Raw genomic sequence first — 20,016 nt, forward strand, 5'->3', positions numbered from 1 at the left:
ACTGGCTTTTGTTGAATAAATATTGACTTTTATAAAACTTTGAAATAATATCTTTTAAAACTTGGGCTTGCTTCTCAAAATACAACTTCTTAACTGTTTATTATTAGGCTTAAATTTGAAACGGTGGCAGGGCACCGTGGCTCACGCCTGTAACCCCAGCACTTTGGGAGGCCAAGGCAGGAGGAACACCCGAGATCAGGAGTTTGAGACCAGCCTGACCAACATGGCGAAACCCTGTCTCTACTAAAAATACAAAAATTAGCTGGGCATGGTGGCACACACCTGTGATCCTGCTACTCGGGAGGCTGAGAGAAGAGAATCGCTTGAATCTGGGAGGTGGAGGTTGCAGTGAGTGGAGATTGGGCCACTGCACTCCAGCCTGGGTGACAGAGCGAGACTCCCTCCTCCCCAAAAAAAGGGGTGGGAGAGGGGCCAAGATGGCTGAATAGGAACAGCTCTGGCCTGCAGCTCCCAGCAAGACCAACGCAGAAGGTGGTTGATTTCTGCATTTCCAGCTGAGGCACCCAGTTCATCTCACTGGGACTGGTTAGGCAGTGGGTCCAACTCATGGAGAGTAAGCAGAAGCAGTGTGGGGCGTTGCTTCACCCGGGAAGTGTAAGGAGCCAGGAACCTCCCTCCCCTAGCCAAGGGAAGCCATGAGGGACTGTGCTACCCAGCTGGGTTACTACACTTTTTCCACGGTTTTTGCAATCTGCAGATCAGGAGATTCCTACCGGGGCCCTGGGTTTCAAGCACAAAACTGGGCGGCTGTTTGGGCAGACACTGAGCTAGCTGTAGAAGTATTTTTTCATACCCCCAGTGGCACCTGGGACTGTGCTACCCAGCCGGGTTACTACACTTTTTCCATGGTTTTTGCACTCTGCAGATCAGGAGATTCCCACCAGGCCCCTGGGTTTCAAGCACAAAACTGGGGGGCTGTTTGGGCAGACACCGAGCTAACTGCAGAAGTATTTTTTCATACCCCAGTGGGGCCTGGAACACCAGTGAGACAGAATTGTTTACTCCCCTGGAAAGGGGGCTGAAGCCAGGAAGCCAAGTGGTCTAGCTCAGTGGGTTCCACTTCCATGGAGCCGAGCAAGCTAAGAACCACTGGCTTGAAATTCTTGCTGCCAGCACAGCAGTCTGAAGACAACTTGGAATAATCGAGCTTGGTGTGGGGAGGGGCATCTGCCATTACTGACATTTTAGAAGGCAGTTTTCTCCTGACATTGCTCAGGAGGCTGGGTGCTCTGGGCTGGGTGTGGCAAAGCAGCTGTGGCCAGACTGCTTCTCTAGATTTCTCCTCACTGGGCATCTCTGAAGGAAAGGTAACAGCCCTAGTCAGGGACTTACAGACAAAACCCCCATCTCCCTGGGATAGAGCACCTGGGGGAAGGGGTGGTTGTGGGCGCAGCTTCAGCGGATTTAATCATTCCTGCTTGCTGGCTCTGAAGAGAGCAGCTGATCCTGACAAAAGGGATTCTCCCAGCGCAGTGCACCAGCTCTTCTAAGGGACAGACTGCCTTCTCAAGTGGGTCCCTGACCTCTGTGCCTCCTGACTGGGAATAACCTCCCAACATGGGTTGACAGACACCTCTTACAGGAGAGCTCCAGCTGATATCAGGCCAGTGCCCCTCTGGGACGAAACTTCCAGAGAAAGGAGCAGGCAGAAATCTTTGTTGTTCTGCAGGCTCTACTGGTGATACCCAGGTGAACAGGGTCTGGAGTGCACCTCCAGCAAGCTGCAGCAGACCTGCAGAAGAGGGTCTTGACTGCTAGAAGAAAAACTAACGAACAGAAAGCCACAACATCAACATCAGCATAAAGGACCCCCACGTAAAGACTCCATCCAAAGATCATCAGCCTCAAAGATCAAAGGTAGATAAATCCACGAAGATGAGGAAAAAGCAGTGCAAAAATGCAGGAAATTCCAAAAACCAGAAGGCCTATTCTCCTCCAAATGATCTCTACTCCTCTCCAGCAAGGGCACAAAACTGGACGGAGAATGAGTTTGATGAATTGACAGAAGTGGGCTTCAGAAGATGGGTAATAACAAACTCCTCTGAGCTAAAGGAGCATGTTCCTACCCAATGCAAGGAAGCTAAGAACCTTGATAAAGGTTACAGGAACTGCTAACTAGAATAACCAGTTTAGAGAGGAACATAAATGACCTTATGGAGCTGAAAAACACAGCAGGAGAACTTTGTGAAGCATACACAAGTATCAATAGCTGAATTGATCAAGCGGAAGAAAGGATATTGGATATTAAAGATCAACTTAACGGAATAAGGGATGAAGACAAGATTAGAGAAAAAATAATGAAAAGGAATGAAAAAAACCTTCAAGAAATATGTGACTATGTGAAAAGACCAAACCTACAATTGATTGGTGTACCTGAAAGTGATAGGGAGAATGGAACCAAGTTGAAGAATACACTTCAGGGTATTATCCACAAGACTTCCCCAACCTAGCAAGACAGGCCAACATTCAAATTCAGGAAATACAGAGAACACCACTAAGACACTCCTCAAGAAGAGAAACCCCGAGACACATAATGGTCAGATTCTCCAACATGAAAACGAAGGAAAAAAATGTTAAGGGCAGCCAGAGAGAAAGGTCAGGTCACCTACAAAGGGAAGCCCATCAGACTAACAGTGGATCTCTCTGCAGAAACCCTACAAGCCAGAAGAGAGTGCAGGCCAACATTCAGCATCCTTAATATCTAGCCAAACTAAGCTTCATAAGAAAAGGAGTAACAAAATCCTATACAGACAAGCAAATGCTGAGGGATTTTTCTCACCACTAGGTCTGCCTTACAAGAGCTCCTGAAGGAAGCACTAAATATGGAAAGGAAAAACTGGTACCAGCCACTGCAAAAACAACCCAAAATATAAAGACCAATGACACTATGAAGAAACTGCATCAATTAATGTGCAAAATAACCAGCTAACATTATGATGGCAGGATCAAATTCACACATAACAATGTTAGCCTTCAGTGTAAATGGGCTAAATGCCCCAATTAAAAGACACAGACTGGCAAATTGGATAAAGAGTCAAGACCCCTCAGTGTGCTATATTGAAGAGACCCATCTCACGTGCAAAGACACACATAGGCTCAAAATAAAGAGACGGAGGAATATTTACCAAGCGCAAAAAAAAAAAAAAAAAAAAAAAAAAAAGGAGGGGTTGCAATCCCAGTCTCTGATAAAACAGACTTTAAACCAACAAAGATAAAAAAAGACAAAGAAGGGCATTACATTACGGTAAAGGGATCAATACATCAAGAAGAGCTAAGTATATATGCAACCAATACAGGAGCACTCAGATTCATAAAACAAGTTCTTAGAGACCTACAAAGAGACTTGGACTCCCACGCAATAATAATGGGAGACTTTAACACCCCACTGTCAATATTAGACAGATCAATGAGACAGATAATTAACAAGGATATTCAGGATGTGAATTCAGCTCTGGACCAATGGGACCTAATAGACATCTACAGAACTCTCCAACCCAAATCAACGGAGTATACATTCTTCTCAGCACCACATAGCACGTATTCTAAAATCGATCACATAATTGGAAGTAAAACCCTCCTTAGCAAATGCAAAAGAATGGAAATCATAACAAACAGTCTCTCAGACCACAGTGCAATCTAATCAGAACTCAGGATTAAGAAAGTCACTCAAATCCGCACAACTACATGGAAATTGAACAATCTCCTCCTGAATGAGTACTGGGTAAATAACAAAATTAAGGCAGAAATAAATGAGTTTTTTGAAACCAATGAGGACAAAGAAACAACATACTAGAATCTCTGGGACACAGCTAAAGTGGTGTTAAGAGGAAAATTTATAGCACTTAATGCCCACAACAGAAAGCTGGAAAGGTCTAAAATCAACACACTAACATCACAATTAAAAGAATGAAAGAAGCAAGAGCAAACAAATTCAAAAGCTAGCAGAAAACAAGAAATAACTAAGATCAGAGCAGAACTGAAGGAGATAGAGACATGAAAAACCCTTCAAAAATTCAATGAATCCAGGAGCTGGTTTTTTGAAAAGATTAACCAAATAGATGGACCACTAGCTAGACTAATAAAGAAAAGAGAGAAGAATCAAATAGACACAATAAAAAATGATAAAGGTGATATCACCACTGATTCCACAGAAATACAAACTACCATCAGAGAATACTATAAACACCACTATGCAAATAAACCCAGAAAATCTAGAAGAAATGGATAAATTCCTGGACACATACACACTTTCAAGACTAACCCAGGAAGAAGTAGACTCCCTGAATAGACCAATAACAAGTTCTGAAATTGAGGCAGTAATTAATAGCCTACCAACCAACAAAAGCCCAGGACCAGACGAATTCACAGCCGAATTCTACCAGAGGTACAAGGAGGAGCTGGTACCATTCGTTCTGAAACTATTCCAAACAATAGAAAAAGAAGGACTCCTCCTTAACTCATTTTATGAGGCCAGCATCATCCTGATATGAAAACCTGGCAGAGACACAACAAAAAAAGAAAATTTCTGGCCAATATCCCTGATGAATATTGATGTGAAAATCCTCAATAAAATACTGGCAAACCAAATCGAGCAGCACATTAAAAATCTTATCCACCACGATCAAGTCGACTTTATGCCTGGGATGCAAGGCTGGTTCAACATACTCAAATCAATGAATGTAATCCATCACATAAACAGAACCAATGACAAGAACCACATGATTATCTCAATGGATGCAGAAAAGGCCTTTGATAAAATTCAACATCTCTTCATGTTAAAAACTCTCAATAAACTAGGTGTGGATGGAACATATCTCAAAATAATAAGAGCTATTTATGACAAACGCATAGCCAATATCATACTGAATGGGCAAAAGCTGGAAGCATTCCCTTTGAAAACCAGCACAAGGGTGTCCTCTCTCATCATTCCTATTTAACGTAGTATTGGAAGTTCTGGCCAGGGCAATCAGGCAAGAGAAAGAAATAAACGTATTTAAATAGGAAAAGAGGAAGTCAAATTGTCTCTGTTTGCAGATGACATAGTTGTATATTTAGAAAACCACATTGTCTCAGCCCAAAAATTCTTAAGCTGATAAGCAACTTCAGCAAAGTGTCAGGATACAAAATCAATGTGCAAAAATCATAAGCATTCCTATACACCAACAATAGACAAGCAGATAGCTAAATCATGAGTGAACTCCCATTCACAATTGCTACAAAGAGAATAAAATACCTAAGAATACAACTTACAAGGGATGTGAAGGACCTCTTCAAGGAAAACTACAAACCACTGCTCAAGGAAATACGAGAGGACACAAACAAATGGAAAAACATTCCATGCTCATGGATAGGAACAATCAATACTGTGAAAATGGCCACACTGCCCAAGGTAATTTATAGATTCAATGCTATTCCCATCAAGCTACCAATGACTTTCTTCACAGAATTGGAAAAAACTACTTTAAATTTCATATGGAACCAAAAAAGAGCCCACATAGCCAAGACAATCCTAAGCAAAAAGAACAAAGCTGGAGGCATCATGCTATCTGACTTCAAACTATACTACAAGGCTACAGTAACCAAAACAGCATGGTACTGGTACCAAAACAGATGTATAGACAAACGGAACAGAACAGAGACCTCAGAAATAACACCATGCATCACAACCATCTGATCTTCAACAAACCTGACAAAAACAAACAATGGGGAAAGGATTCCCTATTTAATAAATGGTGCTGGGAAAACTGGCTTGGCCATATGCAGAAAACAGAAACTGGACCACTTCCTTACATCTTACGTAAAAATTAACTCAAGATGCATTAAAGACTTAAATGTAAAACCCCAAATCATAAAAACCTTAGAAGAAAACATAGGCAGTACCATTCAGGACATAGGCATGGGCAAAGACTTCATGACTAAAACACAAAAGTAATCACAACAAAAGCCAAAATTGACAAATGGGATCTAATTAAACTGAAGAGCTTCTGCACAGCAAAGAAAACTATCATCAGAGTGAACAGGCAACCTACAGAATGGGAGAAAATTTTTGCAAGCTACCCTTCCAACAAAGGTCTAATACCCTGAATCTATAAGGAACTTAAATTTACAAGAAAAAACAATCAACCCCATCAAAAAGTGGGCAAAGGATACGAACAGACACTTCTCAAAAGAAGACATTTATGTGGCCAACAAACATATAAAAAAATGCTCATCATCACTGGTCATTAGAGAAATGCAAATGAAAACCACAATGAGATACCATCTTACACCAGTCAGAATGGTGATTATTAAAAAGTCAGGAGACAACAGATGCTGGTGAGGCTGTGGAGAAATCGGAACGCTTTTACACTGTTGGTGGGAGTGTAAATTAGTTCAACCATTGTGGAAGACAGTGTGGCAATTACTCAAGTATCTAGAACAAGAAATACCATTTGACCCAGCAATCCCATTACTCAGTATAAACCCAAAGGATTATAAATCATTCTACTATGAAGACACATGCACATGTATGTTTATTGCAGCACTGTTTACAATAGCAAAGTCATGGAAGCAACCCAAATGCCCATCAATGATAGACCGGATAAAGAAAATGTGGCGCATACATACCATGGAATACTATGGAGCCATAAAAAAGAAAGAGTTCATGTCCTTTGCAGGTACATGGTTGAAGCTGGAAACCATCATTTTCAGCAATCTAACACAGGAACGGAAAACCAAACACCGCATGTTCTCACTTATAAGTGGGAGCTGAACAGCGAGAACACATGGACACAGGGAGGGGAACATCACACACCGGGACCTGTTGGTGGGGGGGTAGGGGGCAAAGGGAGGGAGAGCGTTAGGGCAAATACCTAATGGATGCGGCGTTTAAAACCTAGATGGAAGGTTGACAGGTGCAGCAAACCACCATGGCACCTGTATACCTATGTAACACACCTGCAGGTTCTCCACATGTACCCCAGAACTTAAAGTAAAATAAAAAAAAAAAGACATATTGTAATACTTAAAAAAATTTGAAATGGCTATACACATTTCCTTTTTTAAATGATGATCTCTTTGAATTTACTTTTATTTTTATTTATTTTTAATTTTTTTTTAGAGAAGGTCTTGTTCTGTTGCCCAGGCTGGAGTGCAGTGGCATTATCATAGCTCACTGGAGCCTTAAATCCCTGGGCATAAGTGATCCTCTTGCTTCATGCTCTAGATTAGCTAGGACTGCAGGGGTGCCACAATGCCTGGCTTTTTTTTTTTTTTTTTTTTTTTGTAGAGATGGAGTCTTGCTATGTTGCTCAGGCTGGTCTCAAACTCCTGGCCTCATGTGATCCTTCTGCTTTGGCCTCCCAAAGTATTCAGATTACAGGAGTGAGCCACTACACCTGGCTTTCTTTGAATTCTTCTTTTGTTTTGTTTTTAAGACAGGGCCTCACTCTGTTGCCCAGGCTGGAGTGCAGTGGCATGATCTTGGCTTACTGCAACCTCTGCCTCCCAGGCTCAAGTGATCCTCCCACTTCAGCCTCCTGAATAGCTGGGACTACAGATGAGCACCATCATGCCCAGCTAATTTTTTGTATTTTTTTGTAGAGATGGGTTTTTGCCGTGTTGCCCACACTAGTCTCAAACTCCTAAGCTCAAAGCAATCCACCTGCCTTGGCCTCCCAAAGTGCTGGGATTACAGGTGTGAGCCACTGCGCCCAGCCTGAATTTTTAATAGTTTCCATTAACAAGAAATTTTGAATGCAATAACCACTCAGTATTTACAATTGAAATTACATCAAAGACTCTAAAACTGTTTTTGTTTTTCTTTTTCTTTTTTTGAGATGGGACCTCATTCTGTTGCTCAGGCTGGAGTGTACAGGCACAATCATAGCTCACTGCAACCCTGAACTCCTGGTCTCAAGTGATCCTGTCGCCTCCACCTCCTGGGTAGCTAGGACTACAGGCATGCACTAGCACACCCACCTTATTATTATTATTATTATTATTTTAGAGATAGGGTCTTTTTATGTTGCCCAGGCTGGTCTCAAACTCCTGGCCTCAAGCGATCCTCCTGCCTTGGCCAGGTGTGAACCACCCACTGCACTGGCCTCTTTTCTTTCATTAAGAAATGTAACAGAAATATAATGAATGACAATTCAGGTGAATTTTGAATTCAAATGAACTTTTTTGTTTTAGACAGAGTCTTGCTCTGTTGTTCAGGCTGGAGTGCAGTGGCGCAATCATAGCTTGCTGCAGCCTTGATCTCCTGGGCTGAAGTGGTCCTCCCACCTCAGCCTCCCAAGTAGCTGGGATTACAGGCATGCACCACTACATCTGGTTAATTTTTGTATTTTTAGTAGAGACAGGGTTTCACAATGTTGCCCAGGTGGGTCTGGAACTCCTGGGCTCAAATGACCTGCCCACCTTGGCATCCCAAAGTACTGGGACTTACAGGCATGAGCCACTGCGCCTGGCTGGAGTTTTTAATTTCAAATAAGTCAAAATAATGAAGGAACTGTAATTTGCATTATGAGAGCAGATCCCCTGCAGCTGGCATGGACACCACAAAAAGGACATTTCAACCCCAAAAGTCCAGACATGCCCAATTAATGTGAAGACTGAGATATGGGCTTGCTCCTTGGGGTTACTCCCTGGAGCTGCACCTGCCTGGGGCCCCAGTCCTGACTCCTTGTGCCCCCACTCTACTAGCTGCACCTTGGGATTCCTGCCATCCCATGCATCCAGGGTATCTAGGGTATGCATCCAGGGTATCTAACACATGAATCCAGGTCATCTAACACATGAATATCTAGGTATGCATCCAGGGTATCTAACACATGAATATCTTCAGCAGCCCCATAGGCCCCTTGCCCATGATGGGCAGCAGCGTGCCCTTTGGCTGAATTTTCTGAGATTTAGTATGGGAAAGAAGAGCTGAATTTTGCTTATCATTCTCATCACTTTTGGGGTACATAGGAATACCATTAGACTTTGTTTTCCTCTAAATCACCTCAGAGGACCCCCAAAGAAGGTTGCTTATAATGCAGGAAACTGGCCCATGGTCTCTGCCCACAGACTGCTGCAAAGGCTGAGTGAGTGAATCAATAGCTTGTGGCATACCTATAACACATCCATGGGAATATTAGTTAAGAAATCCGCCCTATGCTATTAATTATCCCTTCTTGCTCTTGTATTTTCTCTTTCTTTCCCTCCCTCCCTCCCTTCTCTCTCTTTCTCTCTCTTCTTTCTTTCTTACTTTCTTTTTCTTTCTTTCTTTTCTTTCTTTCTTTCCATCTTACAAGAGCCTCACTCTGTTGCCCAGGCTGGAGTGCAGTAGTACAATCTTGGCTCACTGCAACCTCCACCTCCTGGGTTCAAGCAATTCTTCTGCCTCAGCCTGTCAGTAGCTGGGATTACAGGCATGCACCACCACGCCTGGCTAATTTTTGTAGTTTTAGGTAGAGACAGGGTTTCGCCGTGTTGGCCAGACTGGTCTTGAACTCCTGACATCAAGTGATCCGCCCATCTCAGCCTCCCGAAGTGCTGGGATTACAGGCATGAGCTACTGTGCTTGGCCTCCCTCCTATATTTTCTTTTTTTTTTAAATTATACTTTAAGTTCTAGGGTACATGTGAACAACGTGCAGGTTTGTTACATATGCTTACATGTGCCATGTTGGTGTGCTGCACCCATTAACTCATAATTTAGCATTAGGTATATCTCCTAATGCGATCCCTCCTCCCTCCCCACAACCCACAACAGGCCCCAGTGTGTGATGTTCCCCACCCTGTGTCCGAGTGTTCTCATTGTTCAATTCCCACCTATGAGTGAGAACATGCGGTGTTTGGTTTTCTGTCCTTGCGATAGTTTGCTGAGAATGATGGTTTCCAGCTTCATCCATGTCCCTACAAAGGACATGAACTCATTCTTTTTTATGGCTGCATAGTATTCCTGGAATACTATATTTTCAATTCTTCTCTTTAGTGGTTCTTTCCCTTTGCCAATTACAATTAAAAGCCTATGGAATTAAAAAACAAAAACATTGAGGTAATGAATATGCTAGTTACTCTGATTTGATTATTACACACTTACATATTTCAAAATATCATGTTGTACCCCATAAATATGTACAATTATTATGTCAATTAAAAATCATAAAAGCAAAAACCCAAAACAAAAAATAACCTTCATCCATTTTTATTTTTTCCTCCAGCTACCACTCTATCTTGCTTTCTCTAAACAGCTAAACTTCCAGAAAGAGTAATGTACACTTTTCCTCACATTATCTCCAATCACTCTTTTCTCAACCCATTGTAATCTAGATTTTAATAAAACTACACTTGCAAAAGTTATAAATAACCTTTTTATTGCTGCATGTAATGGATAGTTCTCCATCCTTACCAGCATTTGATATAATTGACCATTTCTTCCTTCTTAGAAGATTCTTTTCCTTTGGCTTCTATGACACTACATTTTGAATAATAAATATGTGTTAAACTAGATAGTCTGGTGAACTAATAAAACACAAGTTCTGCTCTAATGGAACATAAATAGAAATATGCTGAATAATAATTTATTGAATAATGATTGCTTGAATAATCGCTGAATAATTATCAATTATGGAAGTTCAAGCGTTCATTTGAAAATAAATCTTTTATTGACACTGAAATGAAGTAGAAGTTCACTACATTGATTTCATTTATATACATTAATGAGTATAAATTATCCCTTTATTATTAATTTTTTTAAGTGATGTCTAATAAGTGGAAATTTCTTATGGTACATTTCATTAGATCTTAACTCAATGGAGGTATCATGAAGACTGTTGATTTAATTTAATCCAGGTGGATCGATTTCTGGTGATCTCACCATTCCAGATTAGAACACATTAGTCTGAGTTGGCTAATAAATCCTACAGCCCATCTCTAGCAAATGTGTATCGACTTCCCGCAAGTCTTTGGATCTTGCCCAATTTATGTTTGAATTCTTTGATTGTTGCATTACCCAAATTACCAAAAGACTCAATAACCTCTAAATGCCAGCACAAATGCAAAGTGACAGTTTACTTGAATGTTTTAGAATCCTATATGTTCCCACAGAAGGAGCTCATAGTCTTTTATCAACAGAAACTCAATTTATTGATTAATTGCTGAGAAATTAGGGGGCAACAGAAAATAGACTTATCAATCTACCATGTGCTATTGCAGGCACGTGGCGTGGGACTGGCGGGTAGCTCCACCTGCAGCCCCGGCATGGGATCCACTAGGTGAAGCCAGCTGGGCTCCAGAGTTGGGTGGGGACTTGGAGAACTTTTATGTCTAGCTGGAGGATTGTGTATGCACCAATCAGCACTCTGTGTCTAGCTCGGGGTTTGTAGATGCACCAATCAGCACTCTGTATCTAGCTACTCTGGTGGGGACTTGGAGAACTTTTATGTCTCACTAGAGGATTGTAAATGCACCAATCAGCACTCTTTGTCTACCTAAAGGTTTGTAAATGCACCAATCAGTGCTCTGTGTCTGGCTAATCTAGTGGGGACTTGGAGAACTTTTATGTCTAGGGAAAGGTTTGTAAATGCACCAATCAGCACCCTATGTCTAGCTCAAGGTTTGTAAATGCACCAATCAGTGCTCTGTGTCTACCTAATCTAGTGGGGACTTGGAGAACTTTTGTGTCTAGCTAAAGGATTGTAAATGCACCAATCAGCACTCTGTGTCTAGCTCATGGATTGTAAATGCACCAATCAGCACCCTGTCAAAATTGACCAATCAGCTCTCTGTACAATGGACCAATCAACTCTCTGTACAATGGACCAATCAGCAGGATGTGTGTGGGGCCAGATAAGGGAATAAAAGCAGGCCTCTTGAGCCAGCAGCGGCAACCCACTCAGGTCCCCTTCCACACTGTGGAAGCTTTGTTCTTTTGCTCTTTGCAATAAATCTTGCTGCTGCTCACTCTTTGGGTCTGCACCACCTTTATGAGCTGTAACACTCACTGTGAAGGTCTGCAACTTCACTCCTGAGGCCAGTGAGACCATGAACCCACCTGGAGGGATTAACAACTCCAGACGGGAGGAATGAACAACTCCAGATGCACCGCCTTAAGAGCTGTAACACTCACTGCGAAGGTCTGCAGCTTCACTCCTGAAGCCAGCAAGACCACGAACCCACCAGAAGGAATAAACTCCGAGCATGTCCGAACATCAGAAGGAACAAAGTCTGGACACACCATCTTTAAGAACTGTAACGCTCACCGTGAGGGTCCGCAGCTTCATTCTTGAAGTCAGTGAGACCAAGAACCCACCAATTTAGGACACACTATGTGTTAGGCCTGGCTCAGTAAGTATAAAGAATATGATAAAACTGGATTCTGGAATCTTACAATCTAGTCAGGAAGCAAAGAAAAAGACTTTGCTTTAAAGTTGGTGCAGTGGCTCATGCCTATAACCCCAGCACTTCGGGAGGCCAAAGTGGGCAGATCACTTGAGGCCAGGAATTGGAGACCAGGCTGGTAAAGTAGTGAAACTCTGTCTCTTCTACAAATAAAAAAATTAGCTGGGCGTGGTGGTGCACACCTGTGGTCCCAGCTACTCAGGAGGCTGAGGCACAAGAATTGCTTGAATCTGGGAGGCGAAGGTTGCAGTGAGCCGAGATGGCACCACTGTACTACGGTCTAGACAATAGAGCAAGGCCCTGTCCTAAAAAAAAAAACAACAAAAAACTTTGCTTTAACATAAAGCTCACCACCTAGAATGTCTTCTAATTTTTTTATTTTTGTTTCTTCTAGAATGTCTTTTAATTTTCTTATTTTTGTTTTTTCTCCTATAAAAATGCATTCAACAAATTCATTTAAGAAATATTTGTTGGCTTCATATGATCATGTGCCAATCACTGATGCTAGGCAAATACGGCTCCTACTGTCATAGACCTTTTTAGTGAAGAGAGACAATACACAAACAAATCATTGTTTTAGACCATAACAAATACTATGAAAACAATAAGCAAGGTAACATGGAGAGTGACTGGGGTGCCATGTTAATTGGGTGGTCAAGGAATGCCTCTCTGATGTGGTGACATCAACTGAAGTCTCAGACAAAAAGCCACGTTGAACATCTGGAAGAACAGTGGTCTAGAAGAGGGAACAGCAATTGCACAAGCCCTGGGCCCAGAAGTAAATTAGCTTGTCCCAGGAACAAAATGAGTATTAGTTACTAATACTGATTATCTCAGGGATTTATTTGGTTCTATAAAGACTTACAAGCCAACATCTCTGTCCTAAAGGAGCTCTGTAACAGAGACAGACGTAAGTAAAAAAGATCACTATTCAGTGCAAAAGTACATTGCAGTGACAGCAGTATGGACAAGCTAAGGACTAAGAAGGAAGAGTGATTACTTCTCTGGGGTGTATTTCAGGGAAGGCATCACAAAGGTGGTGATGTAAAAGCAGAATTTTGAAATATCGTTAGAATTGACAAAGCAGGGAGTAGAGTTGTACTGGGGAAACAGTGCACAGAGAACACTGAGGGCAAAGACCTCCAGGCTGTTTCTTGTTAGTGAACCCTGAAATAGAAGAAAGTGACGCTCAAAAGGCACAGGCACCACCAGGCCATGATGGGCCTTATATTCGGTGCATGACTGGAGCTATCAAAAGACTCCAAGGAAGGAAACACAGCGTTGGATTCGTTTCACGTGACTGTCTCCCTTAAGTATGTCTTCGGGAGAATAAATGTTAAATGATAAAGTGGCAAAGGGGCTCAGAAAGAGATGAGAAACCTGAGAGGCTTTGAGGGGTTGACAAATAGTAGGACTGGATTTGCCCACTGTTTAGTCACTAATAACTTGCAGTACATGGCACTAATAAATACTTCAGGAAGGAATGTATGAAAATGAGTAAAATGCTGATTGGCTGGGTGTGGCAGCACCATGTCTGATGTGTAGAAGTCGTGAGCCCCCTCATTAATAGACAGTGATGTGTTGTTTTAATTCTAACAACCCTATATGTAATTCCACTTTTCAGGTGAGAAAAACCGTAGCCTCAGAGAGATCACGGTACCCTGCCAGAGGTTGTAGAACTTGTTGGAAACTTGGATCAAGAGGGTGTGACAAATAACCAGGTATGCATGCTTAAAAATTACTTTCTACTACTTAGCCTACAGGCTCAAAGAATGAAATTATCTCATAAAAGAGATAATTTATAAAGTCGCTCTCAAAAGAGGGACAACAGAGGGTTCCGGAACGTTCCCGCCAGCCGCCACGAGAAGACCAGAGAGGTGCATCACAACAGCCCAAAGTCAAGCCTACTCCCAACCCCCTTCCCCGCCATCCAGGGAAGGGGCGGGGCAGGGTTCTTGGTCCGCCGCTGTCGCCTGCGCAGTCGCAGTGCGGCTCGTGGCCGCAGCTGCCTGAAAGGGCAAAGGGACGAGTATACGCATGCGTCTATTCCTAGGCTGCTGGCTCTCAGACCCGCAGTGAGGTCTGACGTCATTTCCTGCCGTAAGTATACAGTGCCTCCGGGTCGCGGTCATTTTGAGCCCCTGTCTGGATGACTTCTTGCGGCTGTTCTACCCCTCCCCCTCCCCGCGGTACCTTGCACTTTTCTCCCTCCCTGCCCCCTCTCGAGTCCACCCTCCGGGCCTTCTGCCCCTGATCGCTTGGTTTTCCTTGCAGTCGCCTGCTGCTGTCGTCGGGAGGTGGGTGAGGTGACGCAAACAGCCCCGTTGTTGCCCTCCGCGTATCCCCTCACCACCTTTGCGGCCATCCACGACTTTCGCACCTTCCGCCATTTTCCTGCCTGTGAGGGTGGACAGATCGCGCTCGGGTCTCGGCCTCCTGAGTGCCGGTGACTGCGGGAGGCGACGGAGTGCTTCTGGGGGTGTGAGCTGGGGAAGTTCGTGGTCACGGATGCGTGTGGGGTTGCTGCTCAGTCTGTAACGGCAGGTGGGAGACGGACACTGGGTGGAGGATGGAGTGCGGTAATCAGCGGTTGTAGGCCGCTTAGGCTTTAATCCAGCGTTGTTTTGTGTAAAGAACTTAAAATGGTATTGTCTTAAGCGCCGTGTCAGCCCTGACAGTCTTCCTGGTGTTTCTAGGAAGGATGCCGTTATGGGAAATAAGAGGGTTTCATTTTTTCTCATACGGTTGTAGGGTAAAGGTAGTTTATTCAGCAGGCTCCATCCATCCATGAATTCAGCTGACCTTTTTTATTTCTTTTCTCTAATTAAGGGGTTGGCATGTAGTAGGCCTTCATGGCTTATTGACTGAATGAATTATGGAAGGGCTCAGTTGCTGTCCTCATTGTGTATGCCATTTCCTGTTTCCATGCAAATTGTTTTTAAAATGAGAATAATCATGATCCCACGTAAACGTTCTGTAAAATACGGTTACTTGATCTGTTGGTCTGAGTCCCAATATATGAGTTTTTAAAAAAAGAACCAAATAAAAAATGTATATTCTTGGAATTTTATGCATTTTTTTCTTATATTCTTGGGGTGGAAGGAAATTTGGAGATACAGAATTTGCTGTTAGTTTTACCTCACAGGGAGAAGGATATGTCGTCTTTGTTATTCCATAATTTTGGAGTGCTCCTTTGTGGGAGAGGTTGAATGTTTCTGATGATTATTTCATTTTTTAATATGGAAGCTCAGAAATGACTTGAAATTTTTTTTCTCTTCTATTTTGGGGAATTATCCTAATCATTGGGCATAGATTCGAGAAACGACCAAAACATAGGATGTGAAAGAACCCACTTCCAGGAGGAAAAAATATGTCTGTTATTTTATTGATATCTTGATAGTAAAAAAAATTATAAACTTATAAAACGCATATGCTTTTTCAATTAAGGGACTTAACCTGAATAGTGAGTTCCAAATTAATCAGTAGGTCTGTTACTTTTTCATCTAGCTATTTACATGTGGAGTACGTAAGATATAGTAGTGTTTAATAAATATTTGTTGATTGATTGCTGTGTAGACTAGTAGTTTTACTATATCATACGTCTTGATTTACTTTGACCTATCTAGTGATAGTTTCTAATACTTAATATGTAATGTTTTTGATACAGGAAAGATGAATGGGAGGGCTGATTTTCGAGAGCCGAATGCAGAGGTTCCAAGACCAATTCCCCGTAACTATCTATTAAGTATTTATAATTAGAAGCACTTCCTATGTAAAGGAATTTTCACTGCCTTGAGTAACAGTGGCAGGTGGGCTGGCTTCATGGGCATGTGCAGACAGCGCCCCATACTTGGTTTCATGTTCTAGTCTTGTTATCTTGAAATTCATAATCATTTGGATAAGGAGTCCCACGTTTTTATTTTGCACTGGGCCCAGCACATTAGGTAGCCAGTCCTGACTAGCAGATAGTAGCATTAATTCTATTTGAAGTCAAAGTTTGTTGAAAGTGTATAAGTGGCCTGGCTCGGTGGCTCATGCCTGTAATCCCAGCACTTTGGGAGGCTGAGATGGGTGGAACACCTGAGGTCAGGAGTTCGAGACTAGCCTGGCTAACATGGTGAAACCCCGTATCTACTAAAATACAAAAAATTAGCCTGGCGTGGTGATGGGTGCCTGTAATCCCAGCTACTCGGAAGGCTGAGGCAGGAGAATCGCTTGAACCCCGGGAGGTGGAGGTTGCAGTGAGCCGAGATCGCGCCATTGCACTCCAGCCTGGGCAACAAGAGTGAAACACTGTCTCAAAAAACAAAAAAAGTGCATAAGCCAGTTGTTTTATTATTTGAGTTTAAAAAATGGGTGCCTCTTGTTAATGTTTAGGCTAAGATAATTTTTCAGACCTAGTTTTATTATGGATAATTTAATGTTTTCTGATTTTCCCTGGTAAAAAGACATAGGGCCTGATTACATTCCAACAGAGGAAGAAAGGAGAGTCTTCGCAGAATGCAATGATGAAAGCTTCTGGTTCAGATGTGAGTTCAATTTTCTAATTAATATAATTTGATCCAAAATTTGTACCTGAAATTTTGACTTGAATTTGAACCTGAAATTATAATAACTCCGTATAGAACAAATTGGCAAACTTTTTGCATAGTGTGGTTGTTGTTAAAAGAGATTAAGGAGATAAAGGAATTGCACACATTTTAAAGTAATTATTTCCAGATTTTTAACAAAACCATGAGGTAATTTTGTTGATAATAGTAATAGTTAGCATTTACTGTGTGTACATAGATTATATAAAAACAACCCAATAAGGTTGATAACTATTATTACCCTCACTTTACAGGTGAAGGAATTGAGGTTTAGAGATGTTAAATGGCAACACTTAGTGTTACACAGGTGATAAATTACGATGTTTGGAGTTGAAAACAGGTCTGTCTGAAACAGATTTTACTCTTAATGCTTTTAACCATTATATAATAGCAGATTAGTTCCCATTTTATCATTGTGAAATGTTGTTATACTACCAGCTCTTGATTTCTGATTAAAGAAATATATATATATTTGTGTATATATATATATCAAGATTGTATTTTTTAAATACAGAGATTGTTGGAAGCAGTATACAAAATATACTCTCACTATTTAACAAAGAATTGGTATTGCTTTACTTGGAAACTGTAGTCCTTTCAGGTAAAAAGGAGGATGAATTTTTTTTTGTTTTTGTTTTTGTTTTTTTGAGATGGAGCTTCGCTCTTGTTGCCCAGGCTGGAGTACAATGGTGTGATCTCAGCTCACTGCAACTTCTGCCTCCTGGGTTCAAGCGATTCTCCTGCCTCAGCCTCCTGAGTAGCTGGGATTACAGGCATGTGCAACCATGCCCAGCAAATTTTTCTATTTCTAGTAGAAGCGGGATTTCACCATGTTGGCCAGGCTGGTCTTGAACTCCTGACCTTAGGTGATCTGCCTTGGCCTCCCAAAGTGCTGGGATTATAGGCGTGAGCCACCATGCCTGGCAAATTTTTTTTTAAAAAAGGCAACTTGGCACGGTGCCTCATGGCTATAATTGCAGCACTTTGGGAGGCTGAGGCAGGAGGATTGCTTGAGCCCAGAAGTTCAAGACCAGCGTGGGCAACATAGAGGGGCCTTGTCTCTACCAAAAATGAAAGAAATTAGCTGGGTGTGGTGATACGTAGCTGTAATCGCAACCATTTGGGAGGCTGAGGCTGAGGTAGGAGGATCCCTTGAGCTGGGTACATAGAGGCTGCTGCAGTGAGCTATGATCACATCACTGCATTCCAGCCTGGGTGACAGAGCCAGACCCTGTCTCAAAGAAAAGAAAAAAAGGGCAACTTAAGCCATTAAGGAGGATGTATGTTTTCATCAGTCAGCCTGATATGTATGCTTAAAATGTGCAAGGTACCTGTTGGGAAGATAAGTTTTATGAAAGACAGACTTTGTCCTGAATTAATTTTCTTTTTTGTTTGTTTGTTTTTGTTTTTGAGACGGAGTCTCACTCTCTTCCCCAGGCTGGAGTGCAGTGGTGTGATCTCTGCTCACGTCAACATCCTTCTCCTGGGTTCAAGTGATTCTCCTGCCACAGTGTCCTGAGTATCTGGGACTACAGGCGTGCGCCACCATGCCCGGCTAATTTTTGTATTTTCAGTAGAGACTGGGTTTCACTATGTTGGCCAGGCTGATCTCGAACTCCTGACCTCAGTTGATTCACCTGCCTTGGCCTCCGAAAGTGCTGGGATTACAGGTGTGAGCCACTGCGCCTGGCCCTGAAGTAGTTTTATATGTGGTGAGACAAAGCTAATACATGAAACACTTAGAGATTAAGTGTGTAACTGCAGAAGACTTTTTAAAGAGATAAATTAATTAGAATTGACTTACTGAAATTGAAAAATTTGAATAACTTTTGAGATTTTAAAACTCAAAATTTTCTCAAAATTTTACCAAATTTCAATTTGGTAAAAACTGAAGCCTCTTACAATTTTACAGTTGTGTTTTTCTGTAACATAAGGTGGAATACCTGAGTTGGAAAAAGACCTTTATTTGTTAAGCAAACAATACTTTAACAACTTTATAATAGTACTGTAGGCCAGGTATGGTGGCTCACACCTGTAATCCCAGCACCTTGGTTTTGTTTTGTTTTTTATTTTTGTAGATACTAGGTTTTGCCATGTTGCCCAGGCTAATCTTGAACCCCTGAGTTCAAGCGATCTGCCTGCCTTGGCCTCCCCAAATGGTGGAATTTCAAGCATGAGCCACTGAACCTGGCCCCAGCACATTGGGTGGTTGAGGCAGGAGGATCGCCTGAGACCAGGAGTTTGAGACCAGCCTTGGCAACATAGTGAGACCCTGTCCCTAATCCCCCAACAACAACAACAAAAGAATTAATAGTTAATAAGTAGATAAGTGAAGAGGAAAGGTGGAGTAGCATTTGGAAGAAAGGAGTAGTGAACAAAGGCAGAGTTTGCAATAACTTCATCTCTGCTGGAGCGGTGAGCCTGAATTGATTGGAACAGAGGTCTTTCATTGAGGATAGAACGTAAAACATAGTAATGAGTTAAAGGTTTGATCCATTATATCGTTTAGGTTCTTGAGCAGAGGGGGGTGATATGTAAGGTTTTTTTTAAGGAAGGTTAGTTAACAGTGTGCAAGATGGGTAGAAGGGTGAGAAGTTGTACTTGGTAAAATCTGTTTTGAGCTTTTGGCAGTAACTTAGGCATATATATGTAGTCAACGATGAGATATAGTTGATTAGTGTGTCATTTGGACTGGAAAAGATGAGCTGGCAACGAAAGACTTTTTAAAGGACAAATAAAAGGATTTTTTAAAAAGTTCGACTAAGGGGGAATGAAGGAATGGTAAGAGGGAGGTAATAGCTTTAAGATAACCAGCTTAGGAGACTCAATGATACCTCTGAATAAAAGGTTCATTTAGAAGGAGTTCTTGTTTGAAGATGAGTTTAGTTCAGACGTTTTGAGTTCATGGTGCAACATTCGATTGTCGAAGATTTCTAAGCAACTACAGATAGAAACAAAAGCATACATGAAAAATTAGTTTATTGTGGAGTTGTGTTGGTGAATTCGCCAATAAATTAAGTGTAGAGATAAAAGCATAA

The 20,016-nt window shown here is 41.9% G+C and overlaps 1 protein-coding gene across 14 annotated transcripts in view, besides 4 other annotated features; it reads left to right on the forward strand.

Moving 5' to 3' along the window:
• OCIAD1 (OCIA domain containing 1) overlaps positions 1-20,016 on the forward strand; it is a 56,660-nt gene that overhangs the window by 11,408 nt on the left and 25,236 nt on the right. For 3 of the 14 annotated variants that reach the window (NM_001079841.3, NM_017830.4, NM_001079840.3), the window contains exons 1-3: positions 14,525-14,686; positions 16,057-16,119; positions 16,838-16,918. In NM_001079841.3, coding sequence (NP_001073310.1) covers positions 16,062-16,119; positions 16,838-16,918 — 139 coding nt within the window. In that variant the 5' untranslated portion in view covers positions 14,525-14,686; positions 16,057-16,061. Of the gene's footprint in view, positions 1-14,013; positions 14,111-14,351; positions 14,490-14,524; positions 14,969-16,056; positions 16,120-16,837; positions 16,919-20,016 lie in introns of those variants that run through there. The other 11 variants (NM_001079839.3, NM_001079842.3, XM_024454105.2 and 8 more) reach the window with 8 other exon arrangements.
• Positions 14,093-14,472: an enhancer, noted in NCBI's record as "active region_21549". NCBI's record gives its function as "activates an Ori minimal core promoter by ATAC-STARR-seq in GM12878 lymphoblastoid cells {active_cell/tissue: GM12878}" and the evidence as "EXISTENCE:reporter gene assay evidence [ECO:0000049][PMID:35858748]".
• Positions 14,093-14,878: a biological region, named in NCBI's record as "NANOG-H3K27ac-H3K4me1 hESC enhancer GRCh37_chr4:48832895-48833458".
• Positions 14,315-14,878: an enhancer, noted in NCBI's record as "NANOG-H3K27ac-H3K4me1 hESC enhancer chr4:48832895-48833458 (GRCh37/hg19 assembly coordinates)". NCBI's record gives its function as "activates a minimal SCP1, AML or CMV promoter by ChIP-STARR-seq in naive H9 embryonic stem cells {active_cell/tissue: H9 hESC(naive)}" and the evidence as "EXISTENCE:reporter gene assay evidence [ECO:0000049][PMID:30033119]".
• Positions 14,879-15,441: an enhancer, noted in NCBI's record as "NANOG-H3K27ac-H3K4me1 hESC enhancer chr4:48833459-48834021 (GRCh37/hg19 assembly coordinates)". NCBI's record gives its function as "activates a minimal SCP1, AML or CMV promoter by ChIP-STARR-seq in naive H9 embryonic stem cells {active_cell/tissue: H9 hESC(naive)}" and the evidence as "EXISTENCE:reporter gene assay evidence [ECO:0000049][PMID:30033119]".

This window comes from Homo sapiens, chromosome 4 (genome assembly GCF_000001405.40).
Source record: "Homo sapiens chromosome 4, GRCh38.p14 Primary Assembly".
Taxonomy (NCBI): domain Eukaryota; kingdom Metazoa; phylum Chordata; class Mammalia; order Primates; family Hominidae; genus Homo; species Homo sapiens.